This window comes from Homo sapiens, chromosome 2 (assembly GCF_000001405.40).
Source record: "Homo sapiens chromosome 2, GRCh38.p14 Primary Assembly".
Classification (NCBI taxonomy): Eukaryota; Metazoa; Chordata; class Mammalia; order Primates; family Hominidae; genus Homo; species Homo sapiens.
Genome location: NC_000002.12, coordinates 366127 through 387353, shown reverse-complemented (window position 1 = coordinate 387353; position 21227 = coordinate 366127). Strand labels below are relative to the sequence as shown.

At 42.4% G+C, this 21227-nt stretch overlaps 1 long non-coding RNA gene across 1 annotated transcript, besides 1 other annotated feature; it reads right to left on the bottom strand.

Moving 5' to 3' along the window:
- Window positions 1-76: 76 nt before the first annotated feature.
- LOC105373351 (uncharacterized) lies at window positions 77-19819 on the bottom strand. Its single transcript, XR_922703.3, has 3 exons — window positions 19772-19819; window positions 1298-1397; window positions 77-263 (listed from the first exon to the last, which is right to left on the bottom strand). It is a non-coding gene; the product is annotated as an uncharacterized LOC105373351 (long non-coding RNA).
- Window positions 12583-13782: an enhancer, noted in NCBI's record as "MED14-independent group 3 enhancer chr2:373572-374771 (GRCh37/hg19 assembly coordinates)". NCBI's record gives its function as "activates an origin of replication core promoter dependent on BRD2, BRD4, P300/CBP and CDK7 cofactors, and independent of MED14, by STARR-seq in HCT116 cells {active_cell/tissue: HCT116}" and the evidence as "EXISTENCE:reporter gene assay evidence [ECO:0000049][PMID:35650434]".
- Window positions 19820-21227: the final 1408 nt, after the last annotated feature.

Below are 21227 nucleotides of genomic sequence, written 5' to 3'. Positions count from 1 at the left end.
TAGAATTTTTTCTTTTTAAACATATTTTGAATTTTACTGAAAACTCCTAGGAATACACAGTTAATGTTGAGTAGGGGAGCTACACAAGGATGTAAAATTTAACCAAATCATCTGATTGTGAATTCAAAAATTAAAAACTTACCATGGGTCCCATGAGGAGCCAATTCCACTCCATAGTCTGAATTTTCTAAATAGGAAACTGACAAGTCGGGTAAAGTGATTGCAGTTGTCCTGATCTTGTTGATATTAGTTTCAAAAAATCACTGTTTGGAGAAAGTGAAGGGGGGAAAAGCTGGAGTGGATGCAGAGAGCGGTGAGGGGGGCAGAAGCCCAGGACAGAGAAGGGAGCAGGGCAGAGGCGACAGGGGAGAGGGGAGAGGGAGAAGGCAGAGGGGAGAGGACAGAAGGGAGAGCGCAGAGGGCAGAGGGGAGAGGGCAGAGAGCAGAGGGCAGAGGGCAGAGGGGAGAGGGCAGAGGGGAGAGGGCAGAGGGCAGAGGGCAGAGGGGAGAGGGCAGAGGGCAGAGGGGAGAGGGGAGAGGGGAGCGGGCAGAGGGGAGAGGGGAGAGGGGAGCGGGCAGACGGGAGCGGGCAGAGGGCAGAACCTGGCTCCTGCTCTCAGGTAAGTGGTGAGCAGTGGGGCGCCTGCAGGGAGACCCCTCTTGCTGATTTGCAGGATGGAGTGAAGGCCACTCAGAGCCACCCCAGGACAGAGGACAGGAGTCTGAACCGCCCCCCATGGAAGGGGAGCCAGGGAATGGGGAGGAGTTGGGCACAGCATGGGGGACCTGGGGCCTCAAGCACAAAGCCCTCAAATCTCCTCTCATGAGGTCAGCCATGAGGAGACATGTTCTAATGATTCGTTCTTGTCAAGGTAAAGGTATTGCTGAAGAATTTAATATAAGAATAAAACTGAAGTTCAGAAAAGGGAACAGGTCCAGCTCTGAGAGCTGCTGTTCTGAATCCAGTGAGCCTTGTGTCTGTCAAAATTAGGAGACATTGCTTCTTTTTCCTATGACGACTGCACGGAGCAAATATATCCCTCTCTGCCCAGCCCTGTGGTCCCACCTCCTCTCAGGGAAACTGGCTCTTTGGACCAGGAATGGATAAATGGTTTTATGTTTGGCGTTTTTTTCATCAAAGAATTGCTTTCTCCGGGGACTGCCTGCCACTTTGGGGATTTGGCCCCAAGGCGGCCTCATTGGGAGGGCTGGATGATTTCTATTAGCCAGAGAGAAGAAAACAAAGTTGTAGAATCCATACACACTTCCTGGAGCTGCTCTTAAACACTGTAATTACCTTTTCGTTCAGAAAGAGCACTTTGTAAGCCTCCGACATCCAGTAACTCAAGTCCTGAGCAGGCAGCAATGATCCCAGCTGTGGGTCATTAGCCATCTCCCTGTGGGAGGAAAGGGGAGCAGGATTTTAATTCACCCTGTTCCACCTTCCCTCCAGAGAGGGAGGAGAAAACCCTCACCCAGCCGAGCCCCACACCATGTCCACATGGCTTGTGAATTGTTGCAGGACTTTCTAAACGTATTTGGCCACATTATCTCAAAGTATAAATTCGGATTTCAGTTTTGCACTCAATTCTTATTCCATATTTTATTTCAGAACATAAGAGGACAACACAATATAAAAGTGCTATTTAAAAATACGATTTCCTTCTTTATAAAATGCACCAAGTCCAGCACTTTGAGCACTTTATAAAGAAGGAAATCGTATTTTTAAAAACTGTTCGCAATTACAATAGTGAACCACTCACTTTCCAAATGATTTCTCAAAGGGGGTTCCAAGAATAAAGTCCAGCCACTCACAGACCCTTGACTAAGAAAATGTCCTCTCCTCTGTAAGAGTGTCCTCAGCCAGCTCTGACTCTCAGGAGGGACAGGGGGGACGGAGGGTGGTAGGTCCCAGGCTCCAGACCGCAGGAGCCACCAGGAACCCGTGCAGGCCCCACGTGCACCCAGTAGTAACATCAGGTGACAGCAGGCGAAAGGCCAAGGACCTTGAGGGAGGTTCACAGTCAGCTACTGGGTGTGTGGAACTCTGCAAAGCTTTCTTTATGTGACAAATGCTGAATGCCAGGGTGAGAGGGCTGCCTCAGGGTGGCTGGCTGGGCTGGAGGGGGTTATGGTTTTAGAGGGGTCTTGCCGAATAGAGACAAGAGTTGCCATGCTCATAGGTGCCTCGGTGCAGGTTGACATTTGGGGGTTCAGGTTTGAAGGTGAAGAGTGTTCCCGCCCTGCTACAGCCCTGAGCAGGAGAGCCTGAGTGGGGCGTGAGTCTCTAGGTGGGCCTGCGGTTGCGCTTTCTGAGATGAAGATTAGAAACGTGGAATTCCCAAACCTCTCTTTTCATAAACCACCTATTCATTAAAATTATTACACTTCATTAGTTTTTCAAGCCTTATGTTAGAAATAATACCTATACATCATTTAAAGAAAAACAAAGCAAAAGATGGCTCCCTCTCTGGCCTTAGCTGATATTTAAACAACATAACTTGATTAATAAGATTAATTTATCCTAACATTTGACTACCATGATCTTTTTTTTTTTAAGACAGGGTCTGCTGTCTTGCCCAGGCTGGAGGGCAATGGCACCACCACTGCCCACCTCAGGTTCAACCTCCTGGGCTCCAGCCATCCTCCTGCCTCAGCCTCCTGTGTAGCTGGGACCACAGGCATGCGTCACCATCCCCAGCTAATGTTTATTAGTAGAGATGAGGCCTTACTATGTTGCCCAGGCTGGTCTGGAACTCCTGGGCTCAAGTGATCCTCCCGCCTCTGTCTCATTACAGGTGTGAGCCCCGCCCGCAGCCTGATCTTTTCTATCACATTCTGAGTCCTGGTTTCAGAGCTAGATCCTTCTTCATTGGCCCCCAGCTCCACAACTTCAAAACCACTTGGAATCAAAGTACATATACAGTTATTGACTATCTATATGCATTTCCACTTAACTGGTAAGTCCAAACATTCCCCTTTGTTATAATCTGCTATAAGAACAATTCTATCCAAATTCTGCACCCTCAAATCCTACTATTCCTTGCATGAAAGAAAGGATAAAAAGATACAGAACTTTAGCGTCACTGAGTTCCAGAAATGTTGTCCGTTTCCCTGCATAGGAAGAGGGCACAGCACCCAGCACATGAGGCCTGGCGGGACCTCCCCATCAGGGATGCAAGCATCACTGCCCACCCGGCTCCTGCTGCATCAGAGCCTCCATCCTGGGCCCTCCCACCTGCACCTGCAACTGGGCTCCTTGTAGACACGCCGTGGCCGCTGAGTCACAGGGTCACAGGCGGCTGCCAGCCCTGCAGGGTGGGGCTGGCTTCATCACGGAGCCACACCCCAAGGATCTGTTGGCCGGCATCTGGAAAAAGCCCAGCACTCAGGACCTTTACCCAGAAAGTAGGAAAACCTGGATGGTAATAATTTTCCATATCAAATTATACAACTTTCTACTCCCTTTTTAAAAGGACAGAAACACTCTGTGCCCAAGTAGAAATTTTCATGGCAGCTTCTTACTAGGCATTATGTGAAAAATAAATTCCTTGACTTTCATCTTCAGTTCAGGCTGTCGGAAGGTAGTTTTAACTGGCACAAATAATGTAAATTTTATTAGCAAAAAAAGTGCAGTTAAATTGTCTAAGTGTGTGCGTATGTGTGTGTCAGAAAAAATATTTAAAATAATTGTTTAAAATAATTCAAGTATTTTGATTACACTCACACAGTCACGCTATTGATTAGACTTGCAATCAATAGTTGATGAATGCCGAACTGTCTTAAGCCACGTTGGCTTACACTGCAAGACAGCGTCAGGGAGGAGAAAACTAGGAGAAAGACACAAAGCAAAGCCAAGATAAACGCTGCCCTCATTTTTCTCAGAGAAAACAGCGCCAGGGAAAATGGAGCCAATGGCTGGTAATGGCTGTTTTCAGAGCCCGTTCTGCCCGTGTGAGGACACAGTGACCGTCCCTGAGCCGCGCAGGCTCTGCCCGAGCTCAGCTCGCCCCTGCAGGCTTCCCGGGTAAAATACCAGTAATTCAGTCCCATCTCTGGCGATGCTTGCTGCAATAATGGATCTTTTCTCTTTTGCTTTACTGCATATTTGACTCTGGGTTTTTCTTATTAACTATGTTCTTATAACTATTTTCTTATAACTCTTAATTATTTTTATAACTACTTTTTCATATTTTTTTTCTCTTACAAAGTCAGGTTTGGAATCTCTCAGCCACATTTCTATGAATGGGTATTTCCCATATATATCTATGTGCCATATCTAGTTTCCAGGGTTATTCATCGGTGCCTTTAAAAGGTATGATTCTGTGTTTTCATCAACATGCATCTCGGAAAAGTGATGTGGGGAGCTGGGAAGTGTGTGAGCTTCCGTCTGGGACATTCGATGTAAATCCACCGGCACTCCCCAATCGTGTGGCCACAGTCGATTTGTTCAGTATGTCTCAGGCTTGGTTTCCTTATCTGCAAAAGGGGAGTGTAGTAATACCTACATCACAGGATGAAATATCTCATCTCCTGCACATTTATGTTCAGTTTGAATAAACACATTGAACAACTCTCCTGCGTTTCAGTGCCTGGGGCTCAGGCTGGGTGAGATGGGCAGTCTGTGGCCTATGCCAGGGTGCAGGTGCTTTGAGAAGCTTCTGCTTCTGGGATGGCACTGAGAATCACTGCCTCCCATGAATGTGGCCAGCTGAAGGCCACAGGGACACAGAAACGCCAAGCTCCATGGACAGTCATGGGTTATTATATCTCAAACTATGTGTTTACATGTCATCATTTGTAGAAAACTGTTCACAATGTATATCCGAAAGGTTTCTGGCTGGAACACACATGTGGATAACTGCACGTCAGCTCCACACTTCCGCTGGGGCTTGTCTGGTGGTTCGGGTGCTACTCTGCAGTCCCTCAGAGCCTGAGAAGTGCTGCATCTCAAACGCCCAACATTTTCACCCCGGCTACAACCCCCAGGCCTCCCCGTTTAGGAAGCCGCATGTAAGCAGCGCTCCTGGGGAGCCATTCACAAAATCCTCTCTACTGCCGGTTTTTCCACTTTGCTGACTTCCAGGTAATAGCAGTTTTAAAAGGATGTTTTCCCGGAGCTTCTCGGCCCACCCAGTCAGAGGTTGTTATTGTCGGTTTTATTGAATGTGTGTATTTTGATCTCTGTAGGATTTTGCATTCACGGTAGAGGGGGAGGACTGCACAGCAAGATCGCATGAGCAGGGCTGCAGCTGTGAGGGCCGGCGGAGAGCGCACACAGCCCAGGCCATTCCTCCGGGCTAATTCTCCACACTTTGCTGCCCATTTTTATTTAATAAGAAATAGGAAAATACCTGCTTTTCTCCATGTTCTGTGTGGACTATTTCCTCAGCTCACATAGAATGGTTTCCAGAATAAGGCACATTAACAGGGTATAGACTATCCCCAACGTAAAATGGTTTCACTTAGATTTTTTGACTTTACGATCACGTGAAAGTGACAGGCATTCAGTAGAAACTGTTCTGTTTTTCACTTTCAGTAAAATATTCCACAAATCACATGAGAACTCAACACTTTAATATCAAGTGGGCTTTGTGGGAGATGAGTCTGCCCAACTGTGGGCTGATGTGTGTTTTGAGCGTGTTTAAGGTGGGCCAGGCCAGGCTGTGATGCTCCCTAGGTAGGGGGTACTAAATGCATTTTCTACTGACAGTATTTCCAAGGAATACGCTGGGTTTACGGAGACATGGAGACATAACCCCGTTGTAAGTTGAGTGTCTGTATATTGAGGTCAGTAAATCTTTTATCATCCTCCTTGGCAGCACGGAAAATCATAGAACCCTTGGGGATGACAACCAACTGGTAGATGGAACTGACAGAAATTTCAAACAGACTGACTTCCGATGGCAACGGCTCCCCTGGCCAACCCAGGCAGCAGCAGGGCAGCCTCATGCGGTGGGAAGTCTCGTGACTTCTCCAGCTCCGCCGGCTGCAGCACGTGACCCAGCCAGGGTCCGAACATCCCAGCACTCAGAGCACCACCTGGAAATGACAGACCCAAAGATCTACTTTACTTTTAAAATTCCACCATCCTAAGAGTGAGTCATCCATCCTGGCAGGCCGTTCACATAATGGAGCTATTGGGTTGCCTCTGTTTCATGCTCTAAGATGTATTCACATTTATTTCCATGGAGTTGTTGCTATTTTTTAATAAAAACACTATTTTTAAAAAATCATGTCATTTTTTCCAGCTTTATGGCATAAAATTGACAACGTGATGATTTGATATATGTGTACATTGTGAAATGGTGATGACAATCAAGTTAATTAAGACATCCATTGCCTCACATAGTGACCTTGGAGGGTGTGTGTGTGTGTGCGCGCACGTGTGATGAGAGCACTGAATTTCTACCCTCTTAGTGAATTTCAAGTATGCAATACAACGTCACTAATCATAGTCACCCACTGTGCCTAGGAACCCCAGGACTTAGTCACCTGCATAACTGAATCTTTGTACCTTTGACCAATGTCACCTCATTTCCCCACCCCAGCCCAGCCCCTGGGAACCGCCGTCTACTCTCTATTTTTATGAGTTTGAATTTATTAGATTCTACATACAAATGAGATCATGTGGTGTCTGTCTTTGTGTGTCTGGCTTACTTCACTTAACATAACGTCCAGGTTCATCCATGTTGTTACAAACAGCAGTATTTCCTTCTTTTTAAAGGCTAAATAATATTTCCTTATATGTACGTATCACATTTCTTTATCCAGTCTTCCTTTGATGGACATAGGTTGATTACATGTCTTGGCTACGGTAACATGGAGTGCAGACATCTCTTCCAAATGTGATTTTCTTTCCTCTGGATAGACACACAAAAGAGAGACTGTTGGATCATATGGCAGGTCTATTTTTAATGTTTTGAGGGAACTCCATACTGTTTTCCATATGGCTGCACCAATTTACATTCACACCAACAGCATGCAAGGGTTCCCTTTCTATCACTGCCTCCCCTAAAGTTGTTACTTTTTGTCTTTTTGATAGTAGTTCTAACAAGTGTGATGTCATAGCTCATTGTGCTTTTCATTTGCATCTTCCTGATGATCATGATATTGAACATTTTTTCATATATGTATTGGCCATTTGTATGCCTCTCTTGAGAAATATCTTTCAGGTTCTTCGCTCATTTTTAAATTGGGTCTCCTTGGGTCTTTTTCTTCCTGTTATTTTGAGACAGCGTCTGGCTCTGTTGCCCAGGCTGGAGTGCAGTGGCACAATCTCAGCTCCCTGCAACCTCCGCCTCCCAGGCTCAAGTGATTCTCCCACCCCAGCCTCCCAAGTAGTTGGGACCACAGGCGCATACCATCACACCAGGCTAATTTTTGTAATTTTTGGAGAGACGGGGTTTTGCCATGTTACCCAGGCTGCTCTTGAACTCCTGAACTCAAGCCATCTGACCACCTCAGCCTCCCAAAGCACTGGGATTACAAGCATGAGCCACGGCGCCAGCCTAGCCCTTTGTTTTCTTGTGATTGACTTGAGTTCTTTACATAGTTTGGATATTAACTGCATATAAGATGTATGGTTTGCAATTATTTTCTCCCATTCTGTAGATCGTCTCTTCACTCTGTTGATCATTTCCTTTGTGTGGGCCGAAGTGTTTTGGTTTGGTGCAATCCCACTCTGTTGGTCATTTCCTTTGTGTGGGCAGAAGTGTTTTGGTTTGGTGCAATCCCATTTGTCCATGTTCGCTTTTGTTGCCTTGTGCTTTTAGTATCATATCATTACCCACACCAACGTCAAGAAGTTTTTTCTCTCTGTTTTCTTCAAGTAGTGTTGCCATTTAAGGTCCTATGTTTATGTTGTTAATCCATTTTGAGCTGATTTTGTGTATGATGTAAGAAGAGGTCCAATTTTGTTCTTTTTCATGTGGATATTTGCCTTTCCCAACACCATTTATTGAAGAGATTATTCTTTCCCCACTGTGTGTTCTTGATGCCTTTGTGAAAAATCAGTTGGCTGCAGACGCACGTGTTTTTTTCGAGGCTCTCTATTCTGTCCTGTTGGTCTGTGAGTCTGTTTTTACGCCAATACCATGCTATTTTGGTTACTACAGCTTTGTGGTATACTTTGAAGTCAGGTAGTGTGACGCACCCAGCTTTCTGTGGCTGTTTTTATTGTTGTTTGTTGTTTTATTCTTGCTCAAGATGCCTTGGGCTCTTCAGTATCTTTCATGATTTCATATGAATTTTAAAATTACTTTTTTTTTATTTCTGTGAAGAACACCGTTGGTAGTTTGAAAGGAATTACATTGAATCTGTAGATTGCTTTGGGTAGTATGGACATTTTAACAATATTAATTCTTCCAGTTCATTAACAATGGATATCATTCCATTTATTTGTATCCTTTTTAATTTCTTTAATCAGTGTTTTATAGTTTTCGGTGTAGATATTTTTCACCTCCTTAGTTAAATTTGTTTCTATGAGTCTTAATTCTTCATCTCTGTTATAAATAGGATTCTGTTTTGTTGATTTCTTTCCCCCCATTATCTATTTCTAGTTTCATACCATTGTAATCAGAAAAGATACTTCATATGACCTCACCTTCTTAAATTTGTTAAGACTTGTTTGTGACCTAATACAGGATCTATCCTGGAACATTTTTCTTATATGCTTGAGAAGAGTGTGTATTCCATTGCTGTTGGATGGAATGTCCAGTACATATCTGTCAGGTCCATTTAGTCTGTAATGTTATTCAGGATCTCTGTTTGCTTATTGATTTTCTGTCTGGATGATTTATTCATTGTTGAAAGTGGGGTACTAAAGTTCCCTACTATTACCACATTGCAATTTCTCCCTTTAGTTCTGTTAACATTGACTTTATACATTTAAAGTGCTCTGATGTTGAGTGCATATATATTTGTAACTGTTATAGCCTTTCAATGAAATGACCCCATTGTCATTATACAATGCCCTTCTTTGTCTCTTGTTATAGTTTATTCCTTAAAGTCTGTAAGTATACCCTCCTTATCTCTTTTGGTTACCATTTGCATGGAATATCTTTTTCCTTTCCTTCACTTTCAGCCTGCAAGCAGCATAGAGTTGTATCTTCTTTTAATATCCCTTCAGCCACTCTATGTCTTTTTGCCAAGAGAAGTTAACCATTTGCATTTAAAGTAGTTATTGATAGGTAAGGAGCACTATCGCCATTTTGTTTTGGCTATTCTGTATCTCCTTTCTTCCTCACTTGCTGTCTTTCTTTGTGATTTGATCATTTTTCAGTGGTATGCTTGATTCTTTTCTCTTTATCACTTTTGTTCCTACTATAAACATCACTGTCCTTTAGGAGACTTATGTATGTGAGGAGACTTTTTTCTCTTGCTGCTTTCAATATTCTCTATTTGTCTTTCACTTTTAAGAATTTGATTGTAATATGTGTCTATGAAGATCTCTTTGTGTTTAACCTCTTTGGGGCTTCTTTGGGCTTCATGCGTCTGGATGCTCATTTCTGTCTCTAGATTTGGAAAGTTTTCCATCATTATTTCTTTAAATTAGCTTTCTGTCCCCTTTCTATTTTTCTGCTTCTTCTGGAATTACCATCATGCATATATTGACTTGTTTGATGGTGTCTCTTAGCCCTATAGACTTTTTTCAATCTTTTGTTGTTGTTGTTCCACTGAGTAATTTCATTTGACCTGTCTTTGATGTCACTGATTCTTCCTTCTGCTTGTTCGAGTCTCCTGTTGAAGCTCTCCATGGAATTTTCCAGCTCAGTCATTTTGTTCTTCAGCTCCAGAATTTCTGTTTGCTTATTTATAACGATTTCAATCTATTTCTTAACTTCTCATGTTGCTTATGTATTTCCTGATTTCATTCAGTTGTCTATCTGTGTCCCCTTGTCACTCATTGAGGTTCTTTAAGATGATTGTTTTGAATTATTTGCCAGGCAGTTCATATATCGCCATTTCTTTAGAGTTGTTGGGCCTAGAGCTTGGGGCTTCAGGGGCTAGTCTGGCCCTGAAATTTTTGGAGGTGGGCCTGGTCCTGGGGCCCATGGCAAAGTCAGATGCCTGCTGCATCCCCCACCCTCTGGCAACAGAGGGTATAAGTCTCTGTGCTGTGCTGTGCAGGTTTGGTGGAAGAGTGACGGGTAACATGAAGCTGTCTTTCCTACCCTCTTAAATACATTTTTGTTTCTTTATTCCACTAGGTACTTTAGTGCCTAACGTTAGCCCTTATGAAGGTATTTTCATGTGTGGATAATTGTCCAAACTGATGTTTCTGTGAGGGGAAGAGCACCAGGAACTCCCATTCCACCATATTGCTAACATCACTTTTTCTATACAGCTGTTTTTAAACCCTGCATTTTTATAATTCACTGAAATTTATTATATAACCTACATTTACAAAATCTACTTCATAAAATTACTACATTGTTCTGACAAGAATCTTCCTGTTTAGAGAGATTCAGAAAATGTACATTTGTGTCTTCAACAATGACAGGGAATACCTACCTCCCAGTTATATCCACCTGCCATAAAAATCTGATATTTCCTCCGTAGTAGTAGAAGAGTGGGACCAGAGTTGTTATTTTTCAGAATCTTTTCTAATTCTTTATAATTTTACTGTATGTGTTGAGTATAATATTTAAAAGAAAATAAAATAACAATTGGTAAATTTATATCTACATCAGAAATATCCATTTTGTAAAAGTATATATGTCTGAAAATACATTTTAAAAGTCAATAACAGGCCAAACAAAAACATCAAACATTTTGAGCTAAAAATGATTTTTAAGAAACAAGAGACAAGCAGATTGAAGATGATGGGTAAAGTTCACAATTACAATCTTTATTCTTCCAACAGAATTATGCACATTTGGTTTTTAAGAGAAAAAAAGGAAGTATTACAGAAGCTCTTCATTTTATCTGAGCCAAAAACAGACTTATCTTCACAATAACGATTAAATTTCATTAATCTGATGTTGTTCCACTATATAAGTGCATTTCAAAAATGAATTTTAAAATAATAATCATCATCATAAATTAAAAACCCAAGCTTTCACTTTATTTTTAGTTGTCTAAACTTAGCCTGAACCCTCTGGCTGGTTTTTGTAAGCTTGAAAACAAGCCAGTCTCTTTAGAAAAAGAATTTTTTTTTCCTTAGGGATTTTATGGCTCAGGAGATCAGTAACATGATATGCAGACTTTTTTGTGTATTACACGTAAGCCCTGAGCATACCCTAGTTTGAAGCTCTAGAGAAATGTACCATAAATTGAGTGCTGGACACAAGTTGTGTGTGGTTTGATCTGTGATGCTCAGCTCTGTCACGATCAGGTAGTCAGCACTAAGTCAAGGTTTGTCAAATGGAGGAATGAAGGAACTACTTAATGCCGTTCGTCCTCTGAGAAACTGTCTAGCGGCTGCTCCATGCACAGGTAACGAGTTAGCATGACAGAGACTGATGACTGAGGGCACCGGAGCCTTCAGCACAGAGGGTCCTTGGCCTGGCTGCCCGGTTTCAACTTCCAGGGCCCGAAGTAACAGCATCACAGGAAAGGGGAGGCCATGTGGGGAATGTCTCCTCCGTGACGTGCCAACAACACCAAACATGCCCTGAATTGCCACTGTCCTCAGACCCATAGGAAACAATAATGCATTGTTACTGGGAATAATATCAAAGAGGGAGAAACAGGGAGGGAATTTTCTAAAGAAAAACAAAACAAAATCTCAGTGTGCCAAGACTTTAGGGCATGTAACAAATTGGACAGATTCCCACAGATTTACCTAAAAATAATTTGGCCCAATAAAATTTGCTTGGTCTGAGAAAACTACAAAAGCCCTCTCACTTAATGAAATCCCAGCCAACACAGCACTAATAAATCTAACCTCATCTTTCAAAACTGTGTTTTTGGACAGGAGAACTTCATAATACTGGATAGAATCCACAGTAAACTGATTCTTCTGAAGGCGTTAGTGAATCTGTGGTCCTTTACCATGTGAAAAACACACAGTTTGGGGTGTTAGGGTTTTGTAATTGAATCAAAGCTCAAAATATGTTGACTAAGATAGACACTGGTGTGAAAAATATTAATTAATGCTCAGAGAGAATAAATGCCAGGTAGGCTGTTATTCTAAAAAAATCTCAGAATCAGCTCATTAATTCAATATAAACATGGTGTCTTTAGTCTTTATATAGCGACTCTTTGTATTCCAGATGTCTTTGTGCTTATGAACTGCCTTTGACACACATCTGTAAGAGATCCATGGAGCAAACAGCACTAAGGGAGACAGCTGAGGCTGGGGATTCGTGGTCAACCAAAGGAACTTTTAGAAGAAAACACCTTTATACTCTTTGCTCCAAGGCTTATAATGAAAGCAAATATCTGAATCAGAATTCATGTCTCTAAAGAGAAAATACTTCATGTAAGACTCGGCAGTGCGCTTTGGAAAGCAGTGATTTTCTAGGGAGCAGCCGGTCTTTAGCCACGTGTGACAGAAGGAACACGGAACTCGGAATTCGGGCGCCTGGTTCAGGATGGGGTGTGGAAGACACGGATGGATGTTGAAGGAGGAAGCGAGACCCTGAGTATTTCCTAGAGGAAGAGGAAACCTTGTTTCAGGTTGGCTGGTGTGGGAGGGTGTGGACAGCCATGGAGGGCTGCTGAAGAAGGCAGACACCCTTAGAAATGTAGGTGAGTTAAGGATGCAGTGTAAGTGCAGAACCCGCTTGGGGTGTGTGTTCATAGAAATGTGCTTGCACAACGTGTGACACAAAGACGCCATTAGGATGCAATACGGTCAGTATTCCACCTCACTGTACAACACGTGAGCCGTATGAGACAAAGACGCCATTAGGATGCAATACGTTCAGTATTCCACCTCACTAAACGTCACAACAAAAAATCTCAATTTGCTGATTTCTTTTGCTCCTGCAAGGTGGTTTCTCTGTCCTGCTTTTTATTGGTTTTGTCCCCGTGGCATATCCTCCAGCCAGTGGTAGCTTTCTAACATAGTGTTAACCTTGCACTGCCATTCTGGGTATTATGAAAAACTCAGGCCATGGGTTGCAGATGAGGTATCTTCCTTTTGTTTATCTTGAGACTGGTCTGTATCTGGGTCACTATTCACGTAGCTGCCTTGTATACTACACTTAACTGCTGCGGTTCGCAGAGCAGTTGAAGAAGCTTCCTCAGAGCACATAGCACACAATGGCCATCCACTCCACCCCGCAGAACCTGTAGGAATATGGTAAACAGGAATGCTGTCATCTCGTGGGTCAGAGTGGCTTTGGATAACCATAATTTCAATCCTAATACTGCCATCAAGTTAATTTGTGATTTTGGAGCAGTCGTTTATATTACTGGTCTGGCTGGGCGCAGTGGCTCATGCCTGTGATCTTGGCACTTTGTTTGAGAGGCTGAGGTAGGAGAATTGCTTACGCCCAGGAGTTTAAGACCAACCTAGGTAACACAGGAAGAACCGTCTCTATAAAAAATTAAAACTTAGCCAGGCATGTTGGTGCATGCCTATAGTCTCAGCTGCTCATGAGGCTGAGGTGGGAGAATTGCTTAAACCTGGGATTAAGAGGTTGAGGCTGCAATGAGCCATGATTGCACCACTGCACTCTAGCCTGGGCAACAGAGTAAGATCCTGTGTCCAAAAACAAGACTGTTTGCCACTTGTTTGTCAAAAATGCAAACCATGAATATCAGTTGAGCCAAATACTGATTTCTAAGCTAAAAAAAAAAAAAGTAGACTTACTCGTTGTTATTTGATACAGAAATTTAAAAGTACTAAAAAGATGTTAACAGGACACCTACCTGAGTCCAGGTTGGCCAAGGACCTTAGAAGATATCAGCTACCTTTGCAGACAGTGTTGCCTGCTTGCACAGGAGTCACCCACTTTTACATCCCAAATCCACCTCAAACTCAGCAATCTCTGATCAAGTGCAGCAGCTTCTCCTGGCTCCTGATGACCCCTGACCTTCTGTGAACTCCCTGCTTCTGCGGTATCACCAACCCCCATCCAGTTACACAGACCGTGTCCTCTGCCTTCGTCCTCATGGTCCATTTTCCACCTAAATATCTCTTAATACCACTCCTTTCTGCACACCTGCTCATCCCAGCCATCATCTTATGTTTGTATTGGCCCAGATTTAACTCTCAACATTCCTCTGAAATAAAGACGGTTCTGCTAGAGTTGCTAGTGTGGGCCTTGGGGTGAATTCTCAGTACAGCTCTTTGATTCAGTCAATAGTCTTTCTAGTGCCTCAGGAAAATTAGAATGATGAACAAAGTTAATACGGCAGGAGGGGGCATGTCAGGAAGACTGGGTTTGTCAAAGGTCCTGATGGCTTTGCCAGACATTTGTACAATGCTCCTCTAGTCACTACAGGGACCTGCTGACAAAGCACATGAGCCATTTGTCAGAAATCACTCAACTTCATGATGCATGTGCACAAGTGAATACCATCCAATAGCTCAATCTAAACACTGTCTGTGTCCTGGCATCTGGTAATTCATTCTTCCAATGCATAAACAACTTCCCTGAGCAGTAAATTTACCCCTTACTTTTTAAAAGTTAGGTAAGATCTCTCCTGTAGGGAGAAGCTTTGTTACAAAATAGCATCCCAGCACACTACTTCTTAAGAAAGTTCAAGGAAATCAACAATGTGACCAAATATTATTCCACGGTAAACACCTGGGGAGCCCCAGCCCTCCACTCTCAGAATCCCCTCAGACTCCATTCAACCTTCTTTCTCCTCCTTAGTTATCCAAATCGTTCAGAGAAAAGAATCCGTGTGAAGAAGGTGAGACTTCCCAGTCACAAACCTAGGAGGTGGCAAAGCCAGGGTTCCAGTCCAAGTCCACACAATGCCAAAGTCATGCTCCATGCCCTGTGTCATACCTTTGAATTAGTCTGAAAATAACCTGTATTAATCATTAAGAAGAAGAGTCTAACCTGAACCCAGGTAGTCATCACAGCTGGTGGCATTTTTCAGAGGTAATACTTGCCGCATAAACTGTAGCATGCGTAGGAAATCACAAGGAATACAACATCTCAGGGCCCCAGGATGAGGATGCATCAGTAAAACTTCCTTAGGAGCCACACTCCACCTGTGCTGGTACAGAGCAGTCCCCCCACAGCTGAACACAGCTTCTCCTCAAGCACACGCAGAACACTCTTCAGGACAGAGCACATGTTCAGCCACGGATAAAGTTCTAACAAACTTAACAAGACTGAAATCATAACAATCACCTTTTACAAACACAATGATATTAAATTAGAAATCAATAACAGGAGGAAAGCTGGAAAATTAAAAAATATGTGGAAATTAAACAATGCATTCTTGAACAACCAAAGGGCCAAAGAAACTTTTTTTAAAAATTAAATATCATGAAACAAACAAAAGTGTTTTCATCCTCCCCAAAACTTTTATGCAGCACAAGTAGTTCTGAGAAGGAGGTTTTTAGTGATGAATGCCTACATTAAAAAAAAAGATCTCAAACAAACAAATTGGATAAAACAAATTGGATAACCTAGAAGAAATGGATAAGTTTCTAGCAACATACAACCTACCAAAACCAAATCATGAAGAAAGAAATCTGAACAGACCAATAACAAATGAGAGAATCAATAATCAAAAATCTCATCAAAGAAAAGCCCATGATCAGATGGCTTCAGGATTGAACTCTAACAAACATTCAAAGAAAAATTAGTGCTAACATTTAAATTATTCCAAAACCTGAAGCTAGAGAAAATACTTCCAAATTCATTTTATGATCCCAGCATCACCCTGATACCAAAGCCAGACAAAGACACCACAAAAAAATGATAGTCCAATATCTCCAAGACCACAAGAAAATGATAGTCCAATATCTCCAAGACCACAAGAAAATGATAGTCCAATATCTCCAAGGAACATAGATATAAAATTCACTATAAAATACTAGGCAAAGAAATTCAACAACAAATTAGAAAGATTACACATCATGACCTTGTGGGATTATCCAGCAGATGCAGGGTGGTTTAATACACAAAAATCAATGTGATGCCCTCCTTTAATAGAATGAAAAATAAAAAACTCCCTCTCGTCTCAATAAATACAGAAAAAACATTTGACGAAGTTCAGTTCCCTTTCATGATGAAAACTCAGCAAAGCAAGTTTAGAAGGAAATTTCCTCAACGTAATCAATTCCACTTATGAAAACTGTAGCTAACAGCATAGTCAATGGGTGAAAATGGAAAGATTTCTCTCTAAAATCCAAAAGAAGGTAAGGATGCCCACTCTTACCACTTATTTTCAACATAGTCCTGGAAGTACTAGCATGAGCAATCAGACAAGAAAAAGGAATAAAAGGCATCCAAATCAGAAAGGTGGAAATAAAAACATCCCTACTGTGGATGACATGATCTGGTATGTAGAAAACCCTAAAGATTACACACACACACACACACACACACACACACACACACTGTTAGAAGTAATAAATGAATTCAGAGAAGTTGCTGAATACAAAATCAACATCCAAAAATCAGTCTCATTTTTTTACATGAATATTGACCTATCCGAAAAAGAAATCAAGGAAATAATTCCATTTATGATAGCCTCAAAAAGAATGAAATACTTATGAATAAATTAAACAAGGAGTTGAAAGATACGTACCCTAAATGTAAATTAGTTCAACCATTGTGGAAGACAGTGTGGCGATTCCTCAAAGATCTAGAACCAGAAATACCATTTGACCCAGCCATCCCATTATTGGGTATATGCCCAAAGGATTATAAATCATTCTACTATAAAGACACATGCACACGTATGTTTATTGCAGCACTGTTCACAATAGTAAAGACTTGGAACCAACCCAAATGTCCATCAGTGACATACTGGATAAAGAAAATGTGGCACATATACATCATGGAATACTAGGCAGCCATAAGAAAGGATGAGTTCATGTCCTTTGCAGGGACACAGATGAAGCTGGAAAGCATCATTCTCAGCAAACTATCACAAGAACAGAAAGCCAAACACTGCATGTTCTCACTCATAAGTGGCAGTTGAACAATGAGAACACATGGACACAGGGAGTGGAACATCACATACTGGGCCTGTTGGGGGGTGGGGGTCAAGGGGAAGAAGAGCATTAGGACAAATATCTAATGCATGGGGGCTTAAAACCTAGATGACGGGTTCATAGGTGCAGCAAACCACCATGGCACATGTATGCCTATGTAATAAACCTGCATGTTCTGCACATGTATCCCAGACCTTAAAGTAAAATAAAATTTACAAAAGAAAGATATGTACCCTAAAAACTATAAAACATTAGTGAAATAGAAAGACATAGAAGAAGACACAAATAAATGGGAAGGTATTTTATGTTCATAGATCAAAAGAATTGACATTGTTAAAATGCTCGAGAGGCCAAGGCAGGCAGATCATGAGGTCAGGAGATCCAGACCATCCTGGCTAACATGGTGAAACCCCGTCTCTACTAAAAATACAAAAAATTAGCCAGGCGTGGTGGCGGATGCCTGTAGTCCCAGCTACTCAGGAGGCTGAGGCAGAAGAATGGCAAAAACCTGGGAGGCAGAGCTTGCAGATTGCGCCACTGCACTCCAGCCTGGGTGACAGTGAGTCTCCATCTAAAAAAAAAAAGTCATAATACCCAAAGTGATAAAGAGATTCAATGCAATGCCTATCAAAATTTCAATGGTATTTTCCACAGATATAAAAAAGTCCTAAAATTCATATGGAATCGTAAAAGACCACAAATAACCAAACTAAGCCTAAGAAAGAAAAATAAAGTTGGAAGCATCACACTTCCTGATTACAAATTATATTAGAAAGCTAAAGTAATGTAAATAGCATGGCACTGGTATAAAAACAGACACATATGCCAGTGGAACAGAAAAGAGAGCCCAGAAATAAACCGTGGCCAACTAATTTTCAACAAGGGCACCAAGAAGACCCAATAGGGAAAGGATAGTCTTGTCAATAAATTGTGCTGGGAAAACTGAATATCCACATGCAGAATAATGAAATTAGATCTTTATCTTGCACATACATGAAAACACACTCAGAATGGATTAAAGACCTGAAACTGAAAGACTCTAGAAAAACAATTGGTTTTGCTCCTTGACATTGGACTTGGCAATGATTTTTTGAACAGGACAGTAACAGCACAGGCAACAAAAGCAAAAATAAACAAGTGGGATTACATCAAACTAAAAAGTTCCACACAACAAAGAAAATAATAAAAAAAAAGGCAGCCTACAGTTTAGGAAAAAATATCTGTAAAGCATATAGCTGATAAAGGTTTAATATCCAAAAAATATAAGAAACTTACACAACTAAACAACAACAGCAACAACAAAAACCCATGATCCAACTTGACCCTTAGTGTGGTGGTACTGGGAAGTGGGGCCTTTGGGAAAGTGATTAATGCCCTCATAAAAGAGGCTTCAGAGAGAGTTCATACTCTTCCTACCCTCTGGCCCTCTGTCCCTCCCTCCATGTGAGGACACAGCCTCCGTTCCCCCGAAAAGCAGCAGCAGTAAGGAACCACCTTGGATGGAACCCCTAGGGCCTCACCAGACCCCAGTCCTACTGGTGCCTTGATTTTGCACCTCCAGCCTCCAGAGCAGAGAGTTAAATTGCTGTTCTTTATAAATTACCCCATCTGAGGTATTTTATTATAGCAACACAAAGAAGCCAGGGCAGCTAGAAAGGAAATGAGCGAGACCACAGGAGGAGGTGCTCACGCAACACCCTCTATGTGAGGGCACACAGGCTCGGTGGGAAGAGCTAAGGAGGGCATCTCAGGTCAGCTGAGAATATTCCTCACCAGCCACTGATAATGAGGGGCTCTCGCTGGCAAGAGGCCAAGCACGGGTGTTTCTCCAGCTCTCAGGAAGCATTATAAGAGTTATATGAACATGTATTAGTCTGAACCATATGAAATTGCTATTTGACCATTTTTGATGCCAAAAATATGGATTTGATAATATTCAACTTTGTGTGTCTTCTTGACATTTCAGTATTTTTGTTGTTAAATAAAATTGTTATTATTATATTTTTTCATACTTCATATTGTTTATATTGATAACTAAATATTTATTTTTCAAATCATAATCATTTCTTTTTTATTTTTGAAATTTGTTATTTTTATTTTAAAAATAACTTACTTCCTTGTATATATAGTAGTTTTGTAAATGTTATACTTTGAGACAGAGTCTCACTCCCTTACTTCTTCAACCAGGCTGGAGTGCAGTGGCATGATCACAGCTCACTGCAGCCCCGACCTCTCGGGCTCAAGGGATCCTCCCACCTCAGCCTCCTGAGAAGCTGGGACTACAGGCATGTGCCACCATGTCCTGCTAATTTTTGTATTTTTGGTAGAGACAAGGTCTCACCATGTCACCCAGGCTGCTTTCAAACTCCTGAACTCAAGCAATCCTCCTGCCTGGGCCTCTCAAAGTGCTGGGATTACAGGTGTGAGCCGCCATGGCTGGCCACATTATAGTTTTATAGCTCTTTATTCCCTAGTTTCAACTCTCCTTTTATTGTGATTTCATTCTGGTTGTTGTGTTCCCGAGAGCTCTGAAGCGACACCGAAGGGTGAAGATTGCAGAGGCTTCAGGCCATCGACGGGGCTGCCCGAAGCCTCTGCACTGCTCACCCCCACCCTTCTGTCTCCACCAATGATCGATGATAAATTTTAAAAATAAAATAAAATCTTAACATGGAGAATCATAACCCCTACCTGCATATATTCTCTCCATGACAAAAGTGCCCCTGAGCTCCTGTTACATCACACGCATCACCTGGACTTGGATTTGCAAACTCAGACCCCTGCAGACACAGGCAAGGAATGACGTGCCTGTGGCCGCTGGTCTGTGGCTCTGGTCAGCTGAGTCAACGCTGGGGCGGTTTGGATATTCTGGAGTCAGAATCATCCTGTTTCAAGGAAAACTGGCAATAGAGTTTTTTACATAAACTCCTGATTTCTGAAAAATGTTAGCCTACTTTTTAATGCTGTGAGGGCCAAACAAAATATGTGTGTAAGCCATATTTGCCCCCAAGGCCTCCAGGAGGCCCCTGATGAGAAACTCTGAGACTCTGAGGGCCTTGGTGGCCTTCTGCCATGCAGATTTCTTAGACATTGGCTTAGCCAAGGAGAGAGCTACCAAAACCCCTGATAATAAGGTCACAGATGCTTTCTCCTGGTCAGGATTGAGGAGGTTATTCCTCCTATTTCATAGCAAAATGCACAAACCCGCACTTACTAAGCAGGGAGAAATGGGTGGGGAGGGAAAAGGTAAAACAAGTAGAATCAATCTTTGCAGGTTTCTTCAAGCGAAGTGCACAGAGGTGGCAGCCGGCAAACGCACGCTCTGAGCTGCTGGGAACGGGGCCATCCTCTCGTGAGCTGGGCCAGCCTGTTTGGAAGCCTTGAAACGCCCTTTGCTCTTTTAGTTTAAATCTAGACAGAGGCTGGCGTGCACCGCTCCAATCTTTCCTTGGATCAATCACTGTGTGGGAAGAAGTCTGACCAAATTAGACCCATGGAGATGGTAGAAGGAGGAGCTCCAAGTGCAAGTAGGGTTTGAAAGGAAAAGCAGCGCAGACAAGGGTGCAGGTGCTGTTCTCTTCAGAGCTGCCTGCTCATCCTCCCCTTCCCGCACGGGTCATCTCCAGCATGCGGTACGAGAGCACGGCTGAGGATACGTCCACTGTGAGATTGTTGATCGTGTCTTCCTCGAATCTCACTTTTAGTCAAAGATAGTAGGGGGTAAAACTATTGTTTTTTATTTATTAAAAATTAAAATACTGTGAAACAAGGGACAAAATTCATATACATTTTAATATAACATATCAGTGTTCAAATAATCATCCTAATGGCACCCAAATGTTCTCTGGCCTCAGGCTCTGTGGGTCACAGGTCACTCCTTGCCTTCAAGCGCATCAGTAAATTGATGCCAGACAGCACCTTCCCCACAACCGCAAGTTTCTTGTTTGCTGTCAACAAAGAGAAAATATGTTTTCTAGAATCCGTGTCTCAGAGAAATCTGGAGGAGCCCTTCTGAGAGTTTGTTCGCAACAGCCCATCAGGATTCACTTCAGGGGTGGCTTTCAGTCATAGGAAGGTGCTCATGAAATCTGCCAGGCTGCACTGAGGATCGGGTTTTGGTTTTGTCCGTGCAGGCCGGACCCCCATG